At 50.0% G+C, this 24,275-nt stretch overlaps 2 protein-coding genes across 8 annotated transcripts in view, besides 1 other annotated feature; one reads left to right on the top strand and one right to left on the bottom strand.

Moving 5' to 3' along the window:
• The window catches only part of TXNRD2 (thioredoxin reductase 2), a 66,297-nt gene that overhangs the window by 40,187 nt on the left and 1,835 nt on the right, over positions 1-24,275 (bottom strand). For 2 of the 7 annotated variants that reach the window (NM_006440.5, NM_001282512.3), the window contains exons 2-6: positions 15,322-15,390; positions 3,835-3,891; positions 3,152-3,296; positions 2,435-2,509; positions 57-135 (exon numbers count right to left, since the gene is read on the bottom strand). In NM_006440.5, coding sequence (NP_006431.2) covers positions 57-135; positions 2,435-2,509; positions 3,152-3,296; positions 3,835-3,891; positions 15,322-15,390 — 425 coding nt within the window. Of the gene's footprint in view, positions 1-56; positions 136-2,434; positions 2,510-3,151; positions 3,297-3,834; positions 3,892-15,321; positions 15,391-16,648; positions 16,846-17,725; positions 17,819-22,274; positions 22,472-24,275 lie in introns of those variants that run through there. The other 5 variants (NM_001352302.2, NM_001352301.2, NM_001352303.2 and 2 more) reach the window with 5 other exon arrangements.
• Positions 1,107-1,717: an enhancer, noted in NCBI's record as "H3K27ac-H3K4me1 hESC enhancer chr22:19904338-19904948 (GRCh37/hg19 assembly coordinates)". NCBI's record gives its function as "activates a minimal SCP1, AML or CMV promoter by ChIP-STARR-seq in primed H9 embryonic stem cells {active_cell/tissue: H9 hESC(primed)}" and the evidence as "EXISTENCE:reporter gene assay evidence [ECO:0000049][PMID:30033119]".
• Positions 17,959-22,281, top strand: LOC124905081 (endogenous retrovirus group K member 24 Gag polyprotein-like). The gene is made up of 2 exons (XM_047441689.1): positions 17,959-18,022; positions 20,131-22,281. Exon 2 carries the CDS (start codon positions 21,153-21,155, stop codon positions 22,116-22,118), a length of 966 nt encoding a protein of 321 aa, XP_047297645.1. The 5' UTR covers positions 17,959-18,022; positions 20,131-21,152; the 3' UTR covers positions 22,119-22,281.

The following is a 24,275-nucleotide window of genomic DNA, read 5'->3' on the forward strand; positions in this document are numbered from 1 at the left end:
GCCCAAGGTCTGCAGAAGGGTCCACAAGGAGCCACGCGAGTAAGTCAGATGCTCACCTCTTTCCCACCTTTGGCAACGCCGCAAACCGTGTGCTCGTCAACAAAGCTGGCTTTGATGTTAAAGTACTTGACTTTTCTGAAAGATAAAGATAAGATTTTCAAACACTTCCTCTGCAAATTAAACCTCACCAACTGGATCAATAGGGAACACTGGTAAAAGGGAGCTCCAGCCCCCAGCAGGGCCTGGTGCTGTGGCTCAGATGGACCAAGAGGTAAGCGGCAACCATGCTGAGAAGCATGGAGGGGATGTGGGGGCACCTCGCCTGTCCCCCAGGGATCCCAGGGACATGTTAACCACAGGTGTCAAAGCAGGGACGGAAGCCAGCTCAGCACGGTCCTAAGAGGCCACGTACAGCCCTGGTGTGCAGCAAGAGGTGGCTGGACCTCTCTTGGGGACAGTCCTCATCACCCGGACATGTTCCAGCAGGGAGCTGTGGTGCCCACCAGATGGTGTCACCTTCTGATTTCAGGGGTGTGGTAACACCAAGAGAACGGGCATGACAAGGCTGGCAAAACAGTGGCTGGGAGCATAGTGCACAGAAACAAATGACCCACGCTTTCTTTTCTTTTTTTTTTTTCTGAGTCAAAGTCTCACTCTGTCGCCCAGGCTGGAGTTCAGTGGCACGATCTTGGCTCACTGCAATCTCCACCTCCCAGGTTCAAGCCATTCTCTTGCCTCAGCTCTTGCCTCAGCCTCCTGAGAAGCTGGGATTACAGGCTTGCGCCACCACGCCTGGCTAATTTTTGTATTTTTAGTAGAGACGGGGTTTCGCCATGTTGGCCAGGCTGGTCTTGAACTCCTGACCTCAAGTGATCCACCCACCTCAGCCTCCCAAAGTGCTAGGATTACAGGCATGAGCCACCGCGCCCCACCCTTTTTTTTTTTTTTAAAGACATCTTCTCACTCTGTCACCCAGGCTGGAGTGCAGTGGCATGATCATAGCTCACGGAAGCCTTGTTTCAAGTAACTGGAACTATAGGCATGGGCAACCATACCTGGCTAGTTCATTTTATTTTTTGTAGGGATGTAGCAATAAAACTATGTTGCTCAGGCTGGTCTCCAACTCCTGGGCTCAAGTGATCCTCCCACCTCAGCCTCCCAAAGTGCTAGGATTACAGGCATGAGCCACTGCACCCGACCAACACTTTCTAATGACAAAAGGACCGTGCTGCAGCAAGGGTTCTGGGAAGGCTCTGCCTCCTGCTTGAGCCTGCCTTCTCCCCACTGGCAAGCCTGTGCCTCTATGGGCTGTCTGAGCTGCGTGAAGTTCCTACAGCAAGAGCCCTTCAATCACCTCGACAGCCAGGAAGCTGCCACGGGACACAGCCGGGCAATGCTCATGGCAGCACTTTTCAGAAGAGTGAAAAAGCAGAAACAGCCCAGGTGCGCCCCAGCCTCCTTCTGCAGGTGGCTCCGGAGCAGGCAGTGGGCTGGGCCTGTTTGGTGCCCGTCCAGGAGCTGCCCAGGGCAGGGAGGAGGGAGGGCAGAGCCTGCTGTCCCCAGGAAACTGTACCAGGGGATACAGAGCCCCACAGAGAAACACAGAAATGCCACAGCACAATGTGGCTTAGCTCCCTGGATAGGGGAGAGCTTGTGAGGTCCAGGTGGAGGGCAAGCAGTTGGCTTCCTGGCTCCACTTTCCTGGATTTAGTGAGCACAAAACTGCTGCCTGCTGTGAAGCCCCAGGAAGACCCGCCCTGGGGCCAAGCAAATGGTGCATGAGGAGAGCCACCAGACCTCTGCGGGACCACTGTCCCCTCCACAGCCCCGGGAGAAAGGCTGGGCCAGAGGCGGTACCAGTTTCAGGCATCTGCTGTGCTGGCAGCTGAGCCCCAGGAGAAGGTTGTAGGCCAGGGGAGCATAGGCCTCTGTGCTGGAGATCCCCAGGGGCTGACAGGAACGGTGACCAAGTAGGGACATTTGCTCCAGCGGAAAGCACCAAGCTCCTGCACCCACACCCAAGGAGCTGGAGGTGTGCAGTAAGAAGGGGGTTCACGGGGTGGGGGCTTGCCACTGGGATGACCCTCACCACATATTAGCCCCAGGCCTAGCTATGTCCACGCTCTCTGGCCTGAGGCCTTCCAGCCCCAAGCGCCTCCTCCCTGTGCAGCCCTGGGCTCTGGCCATTCTGCCAATGTGGCCTCACTCATTCCTTGGCAGCACCTCCAGGCTCTGCTCAGCAGCAAAGGGCAGTCTCCCCTTCCCCTACAGTCACTCCCATCTGCTCCTTGTCCTCATCCCCACCCATGAGCAGGACATGAACCCCCAGAGCCTGCCAGAGCATGCTCTGCACAGTAAGTAAGTGTGTGTCCAGGCACAGAACGCCCAAGAGAAGGCCCAGAGGGCGGCCCATTCCCGGAGAGAGCTTCAGTACCTGTCCTGAAGCTGGACACGGTGGCCCCAGTTCAAGGATTTCACGTGATTTTGAACAGCTTCTGCCATCTTCCTCCTGTGAAGATACGAAACAAAATGTAAAATCCACAACACAGGTGTTAGCTGCAGGGCCTCACGATGGACTATTAGATTCAAATGGTACATTCATAGAAATATCAAAAAACAAGAGTGCTTTTAAAGGTGGCAAAACGTGACATCCATCCCTACGTGCAACCGCCTGTCCCAGGCTCAGGGCTGCAGACCTTTGGACTCACAGAAAACAGGGGCTCTGACCCACGGCTCTCCAGATGCAGCTGCTCTGTGCCCCAAAGGCTACCCACTGCAGGCAGAGGCCTATCTGAGCCAATGTGGGTGTGGCTGGGCCACGTGGTCCCCTTCCCAGAAGAGCTCAGCTGAAGCGGCCTCCCACCCGCACTCCTGGCCTTGGAGATGCACTGTTCTTGGTGGGGCTGTGCTGTGCATGGCTGTAGCATCCCTGGGCTCCCCGCAAAGGGGAGCAAACCCTTCCCCAGTGACAACCAAAACTGTCTCCAGACATTCCCAAATGTCTGAGGCAGACAGCGCAGAGTCGCCCCTGGCTGAGAAACCCATCCTACGGCCCACTCCCCATGAGGGCTCATCGAGGATAAGCCTCCTCTTCCTCTTCCACCCAAGAGTAGAAGAAAAGCACTGGAATGCCACGGCGCCAGATCCTTACCAGTCATGCGGCACGGGCTGGGCCACCTCCCAGCCATAGTTGGGGGCATCTTGGATCAGGCCTCCCAGCAGTGCCGCCTGGTGCATCAGCTTCTTGGGGATGCAGCCCACGTTGACGCAGGTGCCGCCGAGGCCCCACCGGGTGCCTGGGACGTGGGAAGAGCACATTTGAATTTATGTTCAGGTGACTGCTGGAGGCTTCCCTGTTCTTCTAGAGTGTTTGGAATTCCTTAAAGTTGCTTTGTAACTCTAACACAGACCAGCTGACATGCCACACGAATCTGCTCTCTATAACTGTACTCGAAAATAAAAACAGTTGTTTTTACTTTTTAATATTTATTAATTTATTTATTTGAGATGGAGTTTTGCTCTTGTTACCCAGGCTGGAGTGCAGTAGTGCAATCATAGCTCACTATAGCCTCGAACTCCTGGGCTCAAGTGATCAAGGCCTGCCTTGGCTTCCCAAAGTGCTGTGAGTACAGGCGTGAGCAACTGCACCTGGCCAGAGTTGTTTTCGATAATGGTCAAGAACTTTAAAGTAATGATGAGTGAAACAGGACACTGTCCAGAAACCATGGACAGCAGGGCTGAAGGACTTTGGTGTCAGCTGCCCTCTGTACAGGAACTGGGCCCACCTCCCACCTCCTTCCCCAGGACACCCGGCTCCCATAGGGTGCTGCCTACCTTGGGGAGAAGGTTCCACGTAGTCCACCACGGCCACCTTCCTTCCCAGCTGGGCGGCTGGAAGGATAAGGAGAGCAGCAGGTGAGCATGGGGAGCTGGCTCAGGACTCAAGAACAGGCACTCCTCAGGGCTTGTGAGGTCCAGAAGAGTGTGGGCAGGGCCTGGGCCTGCGGCTGCCCACACAGTGGCTGAGCTGCGCAATGCTAGGGACCCCTGATCTGCCTCTGCGCTCTGGCCTGCTGAGCTGCGCTGCCTGCTGGCTCTGCATTGAGTCTTCCAGTCTCTTTCTGGCACTGCCCACCCAGCTGCGCTGCCCACAGGCAGGAGCCCTCAGACCTCTCAGGGCCCGCAGCCTTTGTACCATCCACCCCTCACAGTGCTGGCATCAGCCCCACCTGCCCCTGCATGTTCACGTTCACCATAAGCCCAGTGCCCACCCAAGCATCCCTGGGTGGCATCCCCCAGGTAGCCACTCACCGGGAATGGCTCCTGACTCAGAGGCTCTCCCTTGCCCCTTCCCATCCCAGCCAGAGCCCCCTAGGTGGGCATTCGCTGCCTCACTCTCAGGACCAGGACACCAAAGCTCAGGAGAAGTGACGCAGCAGCCCCAGGGTGGACCAGCCCCAGAGCAGGAGCCGAGACCTGACTCCAAACCACACTTCCCGCTGCAGAGCCACCCAGTTGCCCTCCCAGCCAGCAGTGTGGCCACCCAGGGCCACAGGTTCTGGGGCCAACTCAGAAACCATTAGCCAGGACCGGGCATGGTGGCTCACACCTGTTATCCCAGCACTTTGGGAGGCTGAGGAAGGTGTATCACTTGTGGTCAGGAGTTCAAGACCAGCCTGGCCAACATGGTAAAACGTGTCTCCACTAAAAATAAAAATTAAAAAATTGGCCAGGTGTGGTGGTGCAAGCCTGTAGCCCCAGCTACCCGGGAGGCTGAGGCAAGAGAATCGTTTGAGCCCAAGAGGCAGAGGCTGCAGTGAGCAGAGATCACACCACTGTACTCCAGCCTGGGCGACAGAGCAAGACTCTGTCTCAAAAAAGAAAGAAAGAAAAAAAAAAAAAAACATTAGCTAGGGCTAATTTCAAGCTTCCATTTGCCCGGGCTTGGGCACTGCATCAGCAAACTTCAGGCCTTGGACTTGACTGCCTCCCAAGGCACACACAAATCTCATGAACCCTAAAATGCCAAGGAAAGTGTTTGATTCGTGGCTATTAGAAAGCAAGATTAGAACAAAGTTTTGTAAGAGTTCATTTTTAAAATCCATTTTGCTTGGCTGGGTGCAGCGGCTCATGCCTGTAATCCCAGCACTTTGGGAGGCCAAGGTGGGCAGATCACGAGGGCAGGAGATCGAGAACATCCTGGCTAACACGGTGAAACCCTGTCTCTACTAAAAAATACAAAAACAAAATTAGTTGGGCGTGGTGGCAGGTGCCTATAGTCCCAGTTACTCGGGAGGCTGAGGCGGGAGAACGGTGTGAACCCAGGAAGCGGAGCTTGCAGTGAGCCGAGATTGTGCCACTGTACTCCAGACTGGGTGACAGAGCGAGACTCTGTCTCAAAAAAAAAAAAAAAAAGCTAATGTCCACAAGGCACAGTGGCTCACGCCTATAATCTCAACACTTTGGGAGGCCGCAGCAGGCAGATTGCTTGAGCCCAGGAGTTTGAGACCAGCCTGGGCAATATAGCAAAACCCTGTCTCTACAAAAAATACAAAAATTAGCTGGGTGTGGTGGCATGCGCCTGTGGTCCCAGCTGCTCGGGAGGCTAAGGTGGGGGGATGGCTTGAGCTTAGCAGGTGGAGGATGCAGTGAGTCAAGATTGTGCCACTGCACTCCAGCCTAGGTGACAGAGCAAGACCCTGTCTCAAAAAAAAAAAAAAAAAAAGCCAGTGTGCCAGTGTGTAACTCCCACATCTGACCACGATGGAGCAGCAGGGCCCAGATTTACCCTCCCCCTGAAGCAACCCAAAACCCAGGTAAAATGCATGAAACAACGGGCTTTCAGGTACTCCATGTCAGGTAACAAAGGACCTGAGAGAGAGGAAACAAACATGGTGAGCCCTGGGGAGTCTCCAGGACCCAGCACTGCAGGCTGGGGAAGATGGGGAGAATCCAGCACAGGAGAGGGCTGAGAACTGGGGGAGACTGAGGCAGCCAGAGGTCATGCACAGAAGACAGTGAGGAGGGGGCTGCCCAGAGAATCTGAGAGATCTGATCGGCGCATGTGTCTTGGGAAACTACCTGAGACCAGACAGAACCACCTGGAAGGACTGGAGGGGACAGAGCCCACACAGGGCAGGGGACAGTGCCTGTTCCCAGAATCTGGACTGGGAAAAGCATATAATTCCTGGGGCGTTGGGTCATGCCCCAGTAGTTGAGAATCATTAGCCCTAGACTGGGCACTGCTCCATACCCACCTAACAAATCTTTTGCAGAAGACCCAAAAGGATCAAACTGACTCTTAATAACTGCATCCCAGAACAGAGCTCAATAATAGTATTTCTAGAAATACAAAAATGCCCAGAACCCAACAAGGTAAATTCAAGTGTCTGGCATTCAACCAAAAATTACCAGTCACACAAAGAAGCAGGAAAATACACCTATAAAGGGGACAAAAAAAAATCAGTCAATGGAGACTGACTTGGAACAGACACAGATGTCAGAATTAGCAGAAAAGATCAATAAAACAGGTATTCTAACTATTCCATACTTTTTTATTTTTATTTCCTTGCTTAGATGCCTCACTTGTGTGCCCTAACTCCACCTTATCACATATGATGAACTATCTGTTCATGTGTCTGTCTCGGTAACTAAACTGCAGAACTCCGTCAGTCAGGGGCTTTGGTCCTGGTTTGTCTTTGTTGTTCCGGGTCCTGGCCCAGAGCTTGGACCACATTAAGTATTCAAATGGTTTGTTGAAGAAATTAACATGTTAAAAACAAACCTTTCTCACAGAACACTGTTCCTCCTTCAGTGTTCAAGATCCCAGACCTTTGGGTCCCTTTTTACCTACTTACTCCCTACCAAAAGTTCTCTCTCCTTCGACTCCAGGGTGGTTTTATAAACCTCTTATGCATCTCAACTTGCACTATATGGTAGCTACTTTTCACAGCTACAGACTTTTGGTGTGGGAAGGATCTTTTTTTCTCTTTTTTTGAGATGGAGTCTAGCTCTGTCACCCAGGCTGGAGTGCAGTGGCGTGATCTTGGCTCACTGCAACCTCCACCTCCTGGGTTCAAGCGATTCTCCTGCCTAAGCCTCCTGAATAGCTGGGATTACAGGTGCGCACCACCATGCCCGGCCAATTTTTTTGTATTTTTAGTAGAGATGGGGTTTCACCATGTTGGTCAGGCTGGTCTTAAACTCCTGATCTCATGATCCGCCCACCTCGGCCTCCCAAAGTGCTGGGATTACAGGCGTGAGCCACCATGCCCGGCCAGGAAGGATATTATATGCAATTTGTTCTACCTGCTTACCTGAAGTTTGAGTCTCCTTCATAACATCCTCACCAAGTGTTCACCTATGCCTGGTGCCTTTGTCTGGGAATGTATTGCCTTCCCAAGTGGCCATTTAATTTTGGGAACTCTCCCAATATAAAATTTCTCCTCATATTAATTGGAAATGTTTTCCTATAACTCTTAACTATCTCCACCCCCTCTCCCACATGCCCACTCTTTAAAATTTAAAACTATTTTTTTCCTTTCCCTTAAGTTTTCTCTTTTTGAATTCCTTCAATGATGACTTTCAAGGATAGATTCCTTCAACTAGGATAGTTTAGGTCACTTCTCTCCAAATGACCCACCTTCTCCAAACCTCTGTTCAGAAGGGGCTGCGATGCTCCCAGTAGGAAGTCTGAGGCCCTAAAAATGGGCAGCTCTCGACCTGTCCTGGCTCTGGGCTGTATCAGCCTTGAACTCGGTCACATCAAACATCTGACTTATAGAAGTTAACAAGCAGACTGGGCGTGGTAACTGACGCCTGTAATCCCAGCATTTTGGGAGGCCGAGGCGGGCAGATCACCTGAGGTCAGGAGTTCGAGACCAGCCTGACCAACTGTAGTTTCACGACCAGTAGTGAAAGCTCGTCTCTACTAAAAATACAAAATTAGCCAGGTGTGGTGGTGGGCGCCTGTAATCCCAGCTACTCGGGAGGCTGAGGCAGAAGAACTGCTTGAACCCGGGAGGCAGAGGTTGCAGTGAGCCGAGATGGCACCACTGCACTCAAGCCTGGGCAACAAGAGTGAAACTATGTCTCAAAAAAAAAAGTTAACACAGCATTCACTGAAACCCCTGAGGCTTTTTTTTTTTTTTTTTTTTTTCAAATCTTGTGGACTTCTGACTGGTACAACTGCAGCTGCCTTGCCTGGTAACTTGGGTACCTGGTTTGTGGGTCCAACTGCAGGCCATTCAGGTAGACTTGATTTTTTTTTTAATTTAAAAAAAGGCTTTTTTTTCTTTTTTCTTTTAAAGAGACAGAGTCTCACTTTGTTGCCCAGGCACTGGTGTGCAGCGGTGCGATCACAGCTTGCTTACGCCTTGACCTCCTGGGCTCAAGCAATCCTCCCAGCTCAGCCTCCCAAAGTGCTGGGACCACAGGCACACACCAACGCCCAGCCCTCAGTGGTTTTGATGGATTAGTGTATCCCCAGACCCTCCGAAGGGGAGGACAGTGCCTTATCTCTCTCTTTCTTCCACCAAGAAGGCCACAACCGGCCTTTTAACCTTGATCCAAGCGAGGCTGAAAAGCAAACAGGGCGTTCATCTTCATCCTTTATAGCCACATAGCCACATCTCCCGCCCACAAGCAGATTCCACCACCCCCCGCACCCTAAGGCCCAGCCTCATCAGCTGCAGCATCTTCACCTGGCCTTTCACACTGAAGCAGAAGGGGTGACGGTTTACTTTCAGCTGCATGGTCTCCATCATACCCGTAGACCCAACAGCTGAGCTTCCCCTCTGTCCCTTCTCCTCAGCTCACTGCCCCACTAGCCATTCTGCATGTTCAAACAGTGCAGGAGCAACATGGAAGATATAACCAAAGGCTCAAGCTGGATTGTAGAGATGAAAACTACAATACAGGAGATGAAAAATACACTGGACGGGATTAATGGCAGGTCAGATGTTGCAGAATCTTTTATTGGTGGGTTTGAAAACATAGGAATAGAAACTATCCAAAATGAAACGCAGAGTAAGAAATGTTTCTAATGAAAAGAGCATCAGTAGGTTGTGGGGAAGCTTCATGCAGCCTAATATACATGGAATTAAAAGTCCCCACATGTGAGGGGAAGAAGGAGGGACTCAAGGCCAATGAAAAGAGAAAATCCTAAAAGCAACCAAGACACACTACAGAGACACTAAGATAAAAATAGTAGCAGATTTCTCACTGGAAACAATGCAAGCCAGAAGTCAGAGGGGCAAAATTTTTAAAGTACTGAAAAAAAAAAAAAAAGCGGGGGGCCAGGCATGGTGGCTCACGCCTGTAATCCCAGCACTTTGGGAGGCCAAGGGGGGCGGATCACAAGGTCAGGAGATCGAGACCATCCTGGCTAACACGGCGAAGCCCCGTTTCTACTAAAATCACAAAAAATTAGACGGGCATGGTGGCATGCGCCTGTAGTCCCAGCTACTCAGGAGGCTGAGGCAGGAGAATGGCGCAAACCCGGGAGGCAGAGCTTGCAGTGAGCTGAGATCGCACCACTGCACTCCAGCCTGGGCGACAGAGCAAGACTCCATCTCAAAAAACAAAACAAAACAAAACAACAACAACAAAAAAGAAGGCAAAATAAAGACGTTTTCAGACATACAAAAGCTGAGAGAATTCATTACCCCCAGAGCCATATTACAAGAAATGCTAAAGGATGCCCTTAAGGTAGAAGAAAAATACCAGATGGAAATGTGGATCCTCACAAAGGAATGAAGAGCACAGAAATACAATGGGTGAGTATGTGAGATTTTCTCACACGATTTAAGTATATTTTAAACAAAAATAATAATGATGTATCATGGATTTATAACATGTAACAGTAAACACATGATATAATAACATAGAATGAAGGTTAGGAGGGGTGGAATAGATGTATGCTTTTTTAAGGGTAGACTGGCAAGTTAAGGTACATGCCATAAACCCTAAAGCAACTCAAAATAAATCAAAGACCTAACTGTAAGAGCTTGAACTATAAAATGCTTAGAAGAAAACACAGGTGTAAATCTTTGTGATCTTGGATTTCTTAGCTATGATACCAAAATCATAAGCAACAAAGGAAAAAAATAGATAAATTAGGACTTCACCAAAATTTAAAACTTTTGTGGCACAAAGGATACCATCAAGAAAGTGCAGGGCCGGGCATGGTGGCTCACGCCTGTAATCCCAGCACTTTGGGAGGCCGAGGCGGGTGGATCACCTGAGGTCAGGAGTTCAAGACCAGCCTCAACATGGAGAAACCCTTTCTCTACTAAAAATACAAAATTAGCCAGGCGTGGTGGTGCATGCCTGTAATCCCAGCTACTCAGGAGGCTGAGGCAGGAGAATTGCTTGAACCTGGGAGGCGGAGGTTGCGGTGAGCCGAGATTGTGCCATGGTACTCCAGCCTGGGCAACAAGAGCGAAACTCCGTCTCAAAAAAAAAAAAAAAGAAAGAAAAAGAAAAAGAAAATGCGAAGAGGCCAGGCACGGTGGCTCATGCCTGTAATACCGGCACTCTGGGAGGCCGAGGTGGGCGGATCACCTGAGGTCAAGAGTTCAAGACCAGCCTGGCCAACATGGTGAAACCCCATCTCTACTAAAAGTACAAAAATTAGTCGGGTATAGTGGTGTGTGCCTGTGGTCCCAGCTACTTGGGAGGCTGAGGCAGGAGAATCATTTGAGCCCAGGAGGCACAGGTTGCAGTGAGCCAAGATCACACCACTGCACTCCAGTCAGGGTGACAGAGCGAGACTCCATCTCAAAAAACAAAACAACGGCGGCTCACACCTGTTAATCCCAACCCTTTGGGAGGCCAAGGTGGGTGGAACACTTGAGAGGTCAAGAGTTCAAGACCAGCCTGGCCAGTATGGTGAAACCCCGTCTCTACTAAAAATACAAAAAATTAGCTGGATGTGGTGGTGCACACCTGTAATCCCAGCTACTCGGGAGGCTGAGGTGGGAGAATTGCTTGAGCCCGAGAGGCCGAGGTTGCAGTGAGCCGAGATGGTGCCACTGCACCCCAGCCTGGGCAACAGAGTCAGACCCTGTCTGAAAACAAACAACCAACCAACCAAAAAACAGCTGAAATGTCCAGAACAGACACATCCACGGATATAGGAAGTAGATTAGTGGTTGCCAGGGGCTGGGGAGAGGGGGGAAGAGACTGACTGCCAATGGGTACAGGGTATTTTGGGGAGAAACTAAAATGTTCTTGAATAACACAGGTTTGAACTGCACAGGTCCACTCATACATGGATTTTTTTTCAATAAATATAATCCCTTGACCGGGCACAGTGGCTCCCACCTGTAATCCCAACACTTTGGAAGGCCAAGGTGGGCGGATCACCTGAGGTCAGGAGTTCGAGACCAGCCTGGCCAACATGGTGAAACCCCGTCTCTACTAAAAATACAAAAATTAGCTGGGCGTGGTGGCAGGCACCTGTAATCCCAGCTACTCGGGAGGCTGAGGCAAGAGAACTGCTTGAATCCAGGAGGTGGAGAGTGCAGTGAGCTGAGATTGTGCCATTGCACTCCAGCCTGGGTGACAAGAGCGAAACTCGGTCTCAAAAAAATATATATATTATCTCTCCATATCAGCAAGTTCCAAATCTGTAACCAAACTCGGATTGGAAATACAGTACTCCACTGGACATGGTGGCTCATGCCTGTAATCCAGCACTTTGGGAGGCTGAGGCAGACGGATCACTTGAGCTCAGGAATTCAACACCAGCCTGGGCAACATAGCGAAACCCACCTTCTCCACCAAAAAAATACAAAAAGTAGCTGGGCATGGTGGCGCCTGTGGTCCCAGCCACTCGGGAGGCTGAGGTGGGAAAATCGCTTGAACCCGGGAGGTGGAGGTTGCAGTGAGCCGAGATTGCACCATTTACTGCAGCCTGGGCAACACATGAGACCTTGTCTCAAAAAAAAAAAAAAAAAAAAGAAAAGAAAGAAAGAAAGAAAAGAAAGAAAAAGAAAAAAACAGTATTCATAGGATGCAAAACTATATATACAGAGGGCTGACTCTGTATCTGTGGGTGCTTCAGGGCCAACTGCCTGACTCCAGTATGCACAAATTTCAGTGTCCATGGATTCTGCTAACAGCGGGAGTTCCTGAACCCAGTCGTCCTCGGGTACCAAGGGACAAATGCATACGTAATGTGAGGTATATCTCAATAAAACTATTCTAAAAATATGAAACACTTAGGGATGTATCTGATAAAATATGTGAAAGACGTAGACATTGAAAACCACAGGCCAGGCACCGTGGCTCATTCCTGTAATCCCAACGTTTTGGGAGGCCAAGGTGGGAGGATCATTTGAGCCCAGGATTTTGAGACCAGCCTGGGCAACACAGAGAGACCCTCATCTTTCTTTTTTTTAATAAAAAAAAAAAACTTGAGTAAAAAAGAAACTACAAAATGCTGCTAAAAGAAATGAAAAAATACCTAAATAAGAGATATACCACACGATCCAGTTGGTCCATTTTTAGGCACTTACCCAAAATAATTTAAAACATATATCCACACAAACACACAGACAGACGTTCACAGCAATACTGTCCACAATGGCCAAAAGGTGGAAACAATTCAAGTGTCCAGCTACAGGGGAACACGTACACGAAACGGCACAGCCATAAACAGAACACTACTCAGCAATGAAAAGCAAGAAACCATCGACACTCGCGCCAACGAAGATGAGTCTCAAGGTCATTACCCTGAGTGAAAGAAGCCAGAAGAGGAAGATGACATACAGCAGCATTCCGTTTATACGCAATTATAGAAAATGCAAACTATAGTGACAGACAGCACATGCCTGGTTGCCTAGGATGCAGAAGTGGGGGAAGCCGGAAGGAACTGCCAAGGTTTCAGAAAATGTTGGGGTGTTATGGGCTGAGCCATATCCCCTCAAAATCCCTATGTGGAAGCCCTAAACCCTAGCACTTCAGAATGTGACTGTATTTAGAGATAGGGTCTTCAAAAAGGTAATTAAGTTGGCTGGACACGGTGACTCATGCCTGTAATCCCAGAACTTTGGGAGGCCGAGGCAGGCGGATCCCTTGAGGCCAGAAGTTCGAGACCAGCTTGACAAACATGGTGAAACCCCGTCTCTACTAAAATACAAAAATTAGCCAGGTGTGGTGGCAGGCGCCTGTAATCCTAGCTACTCAGGAGGCTGTGGCAGGAGAATCGCTTGAACCCAGAAGGCACAGGTTGCAGTGAGCCAAGATCTCACCACTGCACTCCAGCCTGGGTGACAAAGCAAGACTCGCTTGCAAAAAAAAAAAAGAGGTAGTTAAGTTAAAATGAGGCCATAGGCCGGGCGCGGTGGCTCACGCCTGTAATCCCAGCACTTTGGGAGGCCGAGGTGGGTGGATCATGAGGTCAGGAGATTGAGACCATCCTGGTTAACACAGTGAAACCCCGTCTCTACTAAAAATAAAAAAAATTAGCCGGGCGTGGTGGTGGGCGCCTGTAGTCCCAGCTACTCGGGAGGCTGAGACAGGAGAATGGCGTGAACCCGGGAGGCAGAGGTTGCAGTGAGCTGAGATCACACCACTGCACTCCAGCCTGGGCAACAGAGCGAGACTCCATCTCAAAAAAAAAAAAAAAAAAATTAGGCCATATACAGGTACAGTGGCCACACTTGTAATAGCATTTTGGGAGGCTAAGGCAGGAGGATGGCTTGAACCCAGGAGTTTGAGGTTGCAGTGAGCTGAGATCACGCCACTGCACTCCAGCCTGGGAGGCAGAACAAGACCCTGTCTCCAATAAAAAGCCAACAAAATAAGAGGGCATCCACCTGATCCATTAGGACAGGTACAGGTAGAGATTAGGACATAGACATGCACAGAGGGACGACAACTGCCATCTACAGCCCAACGGAGAGGCCTCAGAAGAAATCAGCCCTGCCCGCACCTGGATGATTTCTAGCCTCCAGAACTGAGAGACAATAAGCATGTGTTGTTTCAGCCGCCCAGTCTGTTATGGCAGTCTGTTTATTACGGCAGCCCTGGCAGACTAACGGGGTGGAGGACACACTCGCCAATCTTGACTGCGGTACTGGCTGCATGGACACATGCACACATAAGAATGATCAGGTTGCCCATTTTGATAGGTACAGTTCATCTCAAAAAAGCCACAAAACCACGTCATCCTCTGCAGGGAAATGCCACTCTCATGAAAGGCGGAGACATACCCAGGAGCTGTCCACATTCCGGATTAAAGGGGACTCAGGTCTCTGCAGCTGGTCACTCCCAGCATGGGAGTGAACGCACAGCCCAGGTGCCCGGTCTGCTAAAAGGAACAGCACTAGGCCTCGTGGCTGCCTGCGCCATCGTTTCTGGGAGTGGTTCTGAGAGTACAGTGTGGCACTGATCCTGGGTGCCTCTGCGGATCCCCAATAGGCCAGGAGACTTCCCAGGTTCCTACACACTCCCCGGCCCCCACAGAGCAAGAGTAGTGGATTTCTTTTACACCATGTATGCTTCTAGAGCCCAATACTGGACATCAGAGAAGCACAGCTTCAGGGCCAAAGTGCCCAGTTAACTCCCTCTCATTTCAGCCCCACCTCCCTCTCATCCCCTTCCCTCCCCATTCACCACAACTGCCCTCTTATCATTGTGTAGACATGGCCAGAGCAGACCAGGAACTCCTACAGCAGGGCACAGAGTCTGGCAAAGTGCTGGTGGCCTGTGCATCACGTGGGTTAGCAGAGAACTGCAAAGTGTCATCTCTGGACACCTCTGGGTCCAGCCCGTTCGCCCAACATCTTTACTCAATGGGTGCCAGGCCAAGTACAAGACTCACCCAGCAGAACTGACCATGGACCCTGGGGGAAGGCACCAGCACTAAGAACAAGGACAGGGACAAGCAGGAGGGTGCAGCTCCAGCCTCGCAGCTAGCCGGGCAGGGGCAGAGAGCAGGCAGGCAGGGTGACAGCCACAGTAAGGTGAAGGAGAGGACTGTCCAGAAGCACGTGAAGGAAAGTGGGGAGCCCACGGAGGGTGTGAGTGGTGGGAGCTGAGACTAGTCGGATTGGGGCTGTCACTGTGAGTAAAGCAGAAGAGCTGGAGGGCTGGAGCTGAGGAAGGCAGTTCAGCCATGAAGTGCCACGGCGGCCGCTGGGTACAGCAGACAGCTGGAGAGTGGCAGGGAACAAGCCACAACACAGAGGCCACTGGGGTGACCCCAGCAGGGAGGCAACGCATTTTGCTCATGGACGTTTTCTGGACAGCACCACCCTCTCTAGGGGCCCTAAAAGCTTCGAGGCCTTGCCACGAAGTATACAGAATACATACCCTCCTTGGCACAAGCCAGGCCACCAGATCCCCCGCCGACCACCAGGAGATCATAGTCCCGCTGACCTGCTGAGAGAAGGGATGAGAGGTGGGACGGACTGTCTGTCTGGTTAAACGTGGTACAGGATCAATTTTATCAGGATTGGACACTCCATTCTGTGATGGTCAGGGGTGACAAGACACCACACAACAGAGCAGAAAGAGTGACTCGATACACATAGTCTGTGCAAATCCAGAGACCAAGCCATATGGTGGTGAGGTTGGCCGTGGGCGTGTGTGATCATCTTTGCAAATCACACGCACACCATACCAACCACTCTGAACTCAAACCTCACCCAGTGTTCTCAGCCAGACACAGAACTAAGATATTTTCTTTTTTATTCTATTTATTTTTGAGACAGGATCTCACTCTGTCACCCAGAAGATTGTAGTCCACTGCCCTGCTTGGGGGAGGGATGAAAGGTGAGAAGGAACACGGTCAGCACAGGGCTGGGACATAGACCCGGAAGGGCCCCCACGACAGGGGCACAGTGGCACAATCACAGCTCACTGCAGCCTCTACCTCTTGGGCTCAAGTGATCCTCTAGCCTCAGCCTCCAGAATAGCTGGGACTACAAGCACCGATCACCACGTCCAGCTAAATTTTTTTGTTTTGTAGAGATGGGGTCTGGCTATGTTGCCCAGGCTGGTCTCAAACACCTGGCCTCAAGCAATCCTTCCACCTTGGCCTCCCAAGGTGCTAGAATTACAAGCATGAGCCACCAAGGTGGACTAAAACATTCTCAAGTCCACGTGCCTTTCAGTTGTGAAGGCTGCCCTCCGTCACAAGTGAGCAAGAATAAAAGCACAGGCTAGGGGCGGTAGCTCACGCCTGTAATCCCAGCACTTTTGGAGGCCAAGGCGGGTGGATCACAAGGTTAGGAGATCGAGACCATCCTGGCTAACACAGTGAAACCCCGTCTCTACTAAAAATACAAAAAAATTAGCCGGGCATGGTGGTGGGCGCCTGTAGTCCCAGCTACTCGGGAGGCTGAGGCAGGAGAATGGCGTGAACCCGGGAGGCGGAGCTTGCAGTGAGCGGATACCACGCCACTGCACTCCAGCCTGGGAGACAGAGTGAGACTCCGTCTCAAAAAAAAAAAAAAAAAAAAGAATAAAAGCACAAGCAGCCCCTGTCCCTCACAGCTGGCCAGTGCACACAGCCAGGGTCTTGGTGTGCCCAGCTGCAGTCAGCTAGGAGGGAAGCCACCCTGGGCACAGGGAGAGCTGCCTGGGCTCAGGTTTCATCCCTGGAATTCCTTTTGGGCTGGTTGTGGTGTCGCCTCACCTTGGTCCTCCATGGTGGCTCACTGCACATAGTGCCACTCTCAGCCTTTTTAGCCTGCAAAAGGTGTCATCGTGTCTACTCTGCAAGCTACTGGCGAGGAAGGCAGGCAAGGGGCAGCCAAAAAAGGGAGGGATGGAGAAGGGACTGGAGGGAGGAAGTAGAGAGGGGAAGTACACTGAACTGGGCCTGAGGTCCGGGACACCCAGCACCAGGCACCAGCCAACTCCCTGCTGAAGGAAGGAAGAAATAATAGCAAGTCATCAGTCTGCTGGGGTGAGGGCAGGGTGGGGACTGATGACAAGACTCTAGGGTATAAAACAAGTAGTGCCCTCAGCCCCTCTGCAGACACGAGCCTGCCCAGATGAGAAGCACCACCCTCCCAGAGCATCTGGAGCCGGTCGCTGCTTCAGACAAGGCCAAGAGGTTCCATGATCAGAGCAGGGTCTGTCATACAAGGCTGGGCAACCTGCCCAACACCTCCATCAGAGCCTAGCGTCTGCCATGAGAAGGCTGCACTTATCTTTGCAGCCACCTCCACCTTCCTAGGCAGGCAAGGCTGCAGAGAGTGTACTTGGAGTGTCATGTCTCTCCACACCCTGGCCCTGCAGATGCCCCACAGACAGGTCTAGAACATGCACTCCTAAAGGATACAAGAGCTGGAGCCTAGAGGAGCCCTGGCTCACAGCTGAGAAAGCTTGGGAAGCTGCATCCAGGCACTCAGGCCATGGCCTGCAGCGAGCCTGCCCCACAACCAAACCCACCCACTCTTTCACCTGGCAGCCAGCCTCTGAGTGCACGTGAGATGTGTGCGCACCTGCGGGAACTGACAGAGCCACAACTCGGTTCCAACAGCCAGTCCAAAGCACACTCAATTCCTAATTCAACTCAAGGGCTCTGGAAAGGCCTAAATTGTTGTAAATTATTCTAATGGCTTTAATATAAGTCTAGAGAACCAAGGACTGCTGGTCAGGGAGAAAATGCCACCAGGTCCCCCGGGGAGCATGAACCTGCTGATGGAGAAGCATCTCTCTCCTCCAGCTGCCTGGTAGCCGGAAGCTTTGCTCAGAACGTCCCTACCTTCCATGGCAGGTGCCTGTCCTTCTTGTTGCCATAGCAGGGCCCTTGTTAGGTCATCCTGCCCTGCAGCCTCGCACTGTGCCCCCTCTGTCTGCTATCAGGCAGGGTGAGCAGCTGTCTGTATGGATGTGCTTATCTTGGGCAGCTTGCTCGCCCCCTGTGCACACCCAGGAGCCCTCTCGGGCTGATAAACACTGGCATAGGGCAGTCGTTTGCAAGCATAGGAAATCTGCCTTTAAGCACTTGGAAGGGCTTGGGTAGCCTGCTGGGAAGGAAGGACCCCAAAGTACCTCAAAGGTGGGTAGGGCAGATGCTGTTCTGTGGGAGGAAGGGCTGGGTGGCAGGCGTTACCTGGGGACACACCACCTGTGCACTCCAGTGTCCTGGAGAACCTCATAACCTTGCCTTTCACCCACTTTAGCCAGGCATACCCTCTCCACCTGCAGGGCTTGGCCCCAGCAAGTGTCTGTCTTGCCTCTGCCTTCTGACATATTGTCCATTAATTTTCTGCTCCTCTTTGAACCCACTGCCTGGTACAGGCCAGCAAAGAGCAGGAGCCCAGAGCTCATAGCAAGGCCCAAGAGAATGCAGCACTGCACCAGTGAGGGCAAGTGGAAGGGTCCCCCAAAATGTGCACCCACAGGCAGGCTGGCCACCTCAGGGTGCCACCTCAGGGGCCCTCCTGTATGGCTGCTCTATCTAGAGCTCTTTCCTGGCAGCAGGTGTTGTCATTCTGGCTCCTGTTCAGGGGCTGCATCGCCCACCCACTCCAAGCCTGGGACAGTTCAGGTCTTCCTACTCTAAAAGGAGAAACTGCAGGGCCCACAGTCCCAGCTACTAGGGAGGCTGAGGCTGGAGGGTGAGTTGAACCCAGGAGTTCAAGGCTGCAGTGAGCTATGATAGCACCACTGCACTCCAGCCTGGTTAACAGAGTGAGACTCTGTCTCAGAAAAAAAAAAAAAAAAAAACTGCACCCCTAGTCTGGGTACAGTGGCTCACACCTGTGTTGCAGGAAGTCAGGAACCCCGAATGGAGGGACTGGCTGGAGCCGTGGCAGAGGAACATAAATAGTGAAGATTTCATTTCAATATGAACATTTATCAATTCCCAAGTAATACTTTTATACTTTTTTCTTTTTTTTTTTTTTGAGGCAGATTCTCTCTCTGTCGCCCAGGCTGGGGTGCAGTGGCACAATCTCAGCTCACTGCAAGCTCCGCCTCCTGGGTTCACACCATTCTCCTGTCTCAGCCTCCTGAGTAGCTGGGACTACAGGCACCCGCCACCACACCTGGCTAATTTTTTGTACTTTCAGGAGAGACAGGGTTTCACCATGTTAGCCAGGATGGTCTTGATCTCCTCACCTTGTGATATGGCTGCCTCGGCCTCTCAAAGTGCTAGGATTACAGGCATGAGCCACCGCGCCTGGGCCCCCAAGTAATACTTTTATAATTTCTTATGCCTGTCTTTATCTCTTAATCCTGTTATCTTCATAAGCTGATAATATACATCACCTCAGGACCACTGTGATAATTGTGTTAACTGTAGAAATTGATTGTAAAACGTGTGTTTGAACAATATGAAATCAGCGCACCTTGAAAAAGAACAGAATAACAGTGATTTTTAGGGAACGAAGACAACCATAAGGTCTGACTGCCTGTGGGGTCAGGCAAAAAGAGCCATATTTTTCTTCTTGCAGAGAGCTTATAAATGGACGTGCAAGTAGGAGAGATATCGCTAAATTCTTTTCCTAGCAAGGAATATTACTATTAAGACCCTGGAAAAGGAATGCATTCCTGGGGGGAGGTCTGTAAACGGCCACTCTGGGAGTGTCTGTCTTATGCGGTTGAGATAAGGACTGAAATACGCCCTGGTCTCCTGCAGTACCCTCAGGCTTATTAGGGTGGGGAAAAAACTCCGTCCTGGTAAATTTGTGGTCAGACTGGTTCTCTGCTCTTAAACCATGTTTTCCGTTGTTTAAGATGTTTATCAAGACAATATGTGCACAGCTGAACATAGACCCTTATCAGGAGTTCTGATTTTGCCCTTGTCCTGTTTCCTCAGAAGCATGTGATCTTTGCTCTGCCTTTTGCCCTTTGAAGCATGTGATCTTTGTGACCTACTCCCTATTGGCACAACCCCTCCCCTTTTAAAATCCTTAATAAAAACTTGCTGGTTTTGCGGCTCAGGTGGGCATCATGGTCCTACCGATACGTGATGTCACCCCCAGCAGCCCAGCTGTAAAATTCCTCTTTGTACTCTTTCTCTTCATTTCTCAGCCGGCTGACACTTACAGAAAATAGAAAGAACGTACGTTGAAATATTAGGGGCAGGTTCCCCCAATATCTGGCGCCCAACGTGGTTTTCTTTTTCCTAAGTGCATGTGGGAACCCGATTCCCTTTGGTAGGTGCGGAGAAATGTTCATCGGTCCAGTCCACAGAAATGCTTGTTTGGCTCCCCAACGATTGGTGAGTTGTCTGTGTATTCTCCGGGGTAACTATGGGTCACGCAGAGTCTAAACATTATGCTTATCTCTGCTATATTAAATTCCTGTTAAAATGGGGGAGTTCGGGTTCCCATGGAAAATATGGTCACCCTATTCAGGGCAGTGGAAGAACACTGTCCTTGGTTTCCTGAAAAGGGAACGTTAGATGTGGAACTATGGGATCATGTTGGTGCAAAATTCCGAGAACTGGTCCCAACAGGAAATTATGTTCCTGTCACTGTTTGGGGTGATTGGGCCTTGGTACGTGCCATCCTAATGACATACCAATCCCGTGACACCCTGCAGTTACCACAGTTTTCTGAATCTGGCCACCCTCTACCTCTTCCTCAGCTTTCCTCTCCCACTCGGCCTTCATTATCTGCTCAGCCCCTCCCTTTGCCTACTCCTCCCCCACCTGACGATACTGAGGATTCAATATCTAACTCCAGTGACTTTGGCTTAACATCACCCCCTGATGATCTTATTTCTTTTCACGAAGAGCCGACACTTGTAGCTCCTGCGGCCCCAACTCAGACAGCCCAGGACCATATCTATGCTAACTCTTCCCTCTCCAAACCTTTACAGTCTTTGCCTCCGGAGCCATCCAAACTACAATTTACCTGTAATTCTGCAGGCCCTCCCCCATCCACCACAGCCCCTCACCCTCCTATCATTTTGGTCCCTCAACCGGTCACTTTGCCATCCACTCAACCTGCTTCTCTGTACCCTTCTTCATGCAGGGACACCCCTGCCACTCTGGTTGTGCAGGACTGGGCCAGTAATCACCAGTATGCTTCTGCCTCTTCTGCTCCCCCAATGCCCCTTTCTCACACTCTTATACCAGTCCGACCCCGTCAATCTCAGTTTCTCTTATCTATACATACTTTTCCTGTCACTTCTATGCCGACTCTATCTCATGTGCCTGCTCTTGAAACTTTCATGCAATGCTTATTACGCCAAAACAAACAAGTAGATTAGAGGCGTGGGCTTATTCGGTCATGCTGGAACCTCCTAATGCTCAAGGGGTACAAGTGTGTCGATATACGCCGCTCAATCTTACCTTTTTAAAAGAATTCAAGGATGCTTGTACTCAGTATGTTCCTACTTCTCCATATGTTAAAACGGTATTACAGACTCTTTGTACCGAGGTCATTTTGCTTCCTATAGACTGCGACCTTTTGGCAAAAGCTGTTCTAACTCCATCTCAGCATTTACAATTCCATACCTGGTGGTCAGAGGAGGCCCGCCTGCAGGCTCAGCTAAATCGGGCTGATGGCATTCCAATTACTCAGGCTCAGCTCACAGGCTCCGATAATTACTCTGATACTACTGCTCATTTAGGCTTTGATGCTCTCACCACGGAACAAGTAACAAAGGTGTGTATGAGAGCTTGGGATAAATTACGCACCCCAGGCCAAGCTTCTGTTTCTTTTACTATTGTTAAACAGGGTCACAATGAATTATATCTTGATTTTTTAGCTAAATTACAAGATGCTGTTGAAAAATCTGTCTCTGATGAGCACACTCAAGGTATTCTTCTTCATATGTTAGCTTTTCAAAATGCGAACCATGAGTGTAAAATGGCCGTGCATTCCATCCTACGTCAAAATTTACCTGATCATGAGGTGTTGCCTGCATATATTAAAGCTTGTGAAGGCGTTGGATCGGAGACCCACAGAGCTATTCTGTGGGCACCGGCCATGAAGCACGGCAACCAAACTGGCTCGACTGATTCTTTTCTTGGAGCCTGCTATAATTGTGGCCAACTTGGTCATACCCAAAAAAACTACACTGTTAAAAACTTAAAAGCGGCCAAGCCGGCTCAACAAACACGGCCAAATGCTCCTGCTACTGTTTGCCTGCGTTGTCGTAAGGGTAAACATTGGGCAAGTACTTGCCACTCAGTCTGATATAGATGAAAATCCCTTGCCACAGAACCAGGGAAACAGGAAGCAAGGCCAGTCCCAGGCCCCAATATCAAATGGGACACCTCGGACTCAGACCAATGTTGTGTTTTTGCGTCAAGCAGTCCCAACGCAGCCCCCAGCACAAACAAATTTACCTACAGCCAATCCAGATGGGTCCCAGCCTCTTCTTCTGTCTCAGTACAATGCTTGTCTACCTCCACAGTAGGCAGCAGGGCGGTCGATCTCTGTAGTACCATTCCTCTAAATTTACTACCTAATTCTTTGCCTTTAATTGTCCCCATGGGGGTCACTGGCCCTTTACCTCAAGGTTCGGTGGGCCTGGTGTTAGGCAGGGCATCCACCTCATGATACTAAAGGTATCATAGTTCATACTAGTCTCATTAATTCTGATTCCTCTGATGAGATTAAACTTATGTAAACTTATGGTGTCTGCCAAAGTTCCTGTTTCCATTCCGGCCAGTGAGTCAATTGCTCAATTACTTTTACTACCTAACATTGTTTTAAACAAAGGAGATAAGACATGGGGCCCTGGGATGGGCTCCAGCGGTGAAAAAGCCGCTTATTGGATTAATGTAATTTCTAAACAATGGCCTACCTGCACCATACACATTCAAGGAAAAAAGGTTGAGGGCCTAGTTGATACTGGGGCTGATGTTTCTATTATTTCCTCTAATTTATGGCCTTCCTCCTGGCTTAAACATCCCACTAACATGAAACTAGAAGGTGTTAGAAAAGCTGAAGAAGTTCACCAGAGCACATTTATCTTGGCTTGCACTGGCCCTGATGGTCAAAAGGGAACAATTCAGCCTTATATCATGCCCATCCCCATTAATCTTCGGGGCAGAGATTTGCTGGCACAAATTGGGGCTGAAATTAATATTCCACATAACTTTTACAGTGCTCCCAGTCAACATATAATGGAAAACATGGGGTTTGTTTCCAGACTCGGTCTCGGTCCAAAACGTGAAAAAATTACTAAACCTCTTCAAGTTACTGTAAAAGAAGACAAGGCTGGTTTAAAAGCATAATTTAACTACTCCCCACTCCCAATTATATTTAGCATTGTTTAAGCTTTCTAAATGTTCCTAAAAACAATACTCTGACTGCAGCTAAATGCCATTATACAGGCAAAAAATTCTCCCTAAACGAAGGCAAGCCAGTGTCATGGAAAAACTCCCAAACCAATACCTGGGAACCTGGAACAATTATAACGTGGGGAAGAGGGTATGCTTGTGTTTTACCAGGAGATCGTCAATCCCGTCTGGGTGCCCACTAGGAGACTTAAACTTCGTGTGAATACTGACAATAAAAACCACGAGGAAGAGACGTTCGCGTCAGAGACTGCCCTCATACCTGATGAGATCTGTACCGACTCCTCAGAAACTGGCATGCCAAATCAAAATGGGTCTGGTTCAATCCTCCCTAATGGCAATGTAAACCCCTCTAACTAATCCCACTTCTCCTAATTATCTTTTTCTCCTTACGAACCTAAAAATCTCACCATTTCTATTAGCCTGAAAATAACATCCCTCTGTTCTTCTCTTCCTCCTTCAGCACTGGATCTCACTTACAATAGGTTTTATTTAATAATTATCTTCCTTACACTTTCTGTCTCACCAGTTTCCCCTTAAACTGATTTACCTGCTACACAAAATTATTCTTATTGGGCTTATGTGCCTTTTCCTCCACTTATTCGACCTCTCACCTGGATGGATGCTCCTGCAGAAATCTATACTAACGATAGTGTGTGGATGCCTGGAACTACAGATGACCGTTGCACCGCTCAGCCAGGAGAAGGCACTGCATTTAATGTTACTATGGGTTATAAATACCCTCCTCTGTGCCTTGGACATGCACCTGGTTGTATCCATCTAGAAGCTCAAGTCTGGGCTGCTTGTCTTCCAGAGAGATTAGCTATAGGGAAATGGGGACATTTGGTCTCTGGCCTCTCCCTTTCTCCTTTAAGACAAATAAAAAGAGGAGTAATAGGAGATACCCCATACTTTCAATATAAACCTGTAGGAAAACCATATCCTAAAAATTTTGAGGGCCCATCTAAAACTTCAATTTGGGAATGATTGTGTTAACTCACATGCAGTAGTATTAAAAAATGACTCGGCTGGGCGCAGTGGCTCATGC

Source organism: Homo sapiens, chromosome 22, assembly GCF_000001405.40.
Source record: "Homo sapiens chromosome 22, GRCh38.p14 Primary Assembly".
Classification (NCBI taxonomy): domain Eukaryota; kingdom Metazoa; phylum Chordata; class Mammalia; order Primates; family Hominidae; genus Homo; species Homo sapiens.

Bases quoted from the DNA above. Each gene is read 5' to 3' on its own strand.
- LOC124905081 (XM_047441689.1), top strand. From the start codon at position 21,153: ATGCTTATTACGCCAAAACAAACAAGTAGATTAGAGGCGTGGGCTTAT.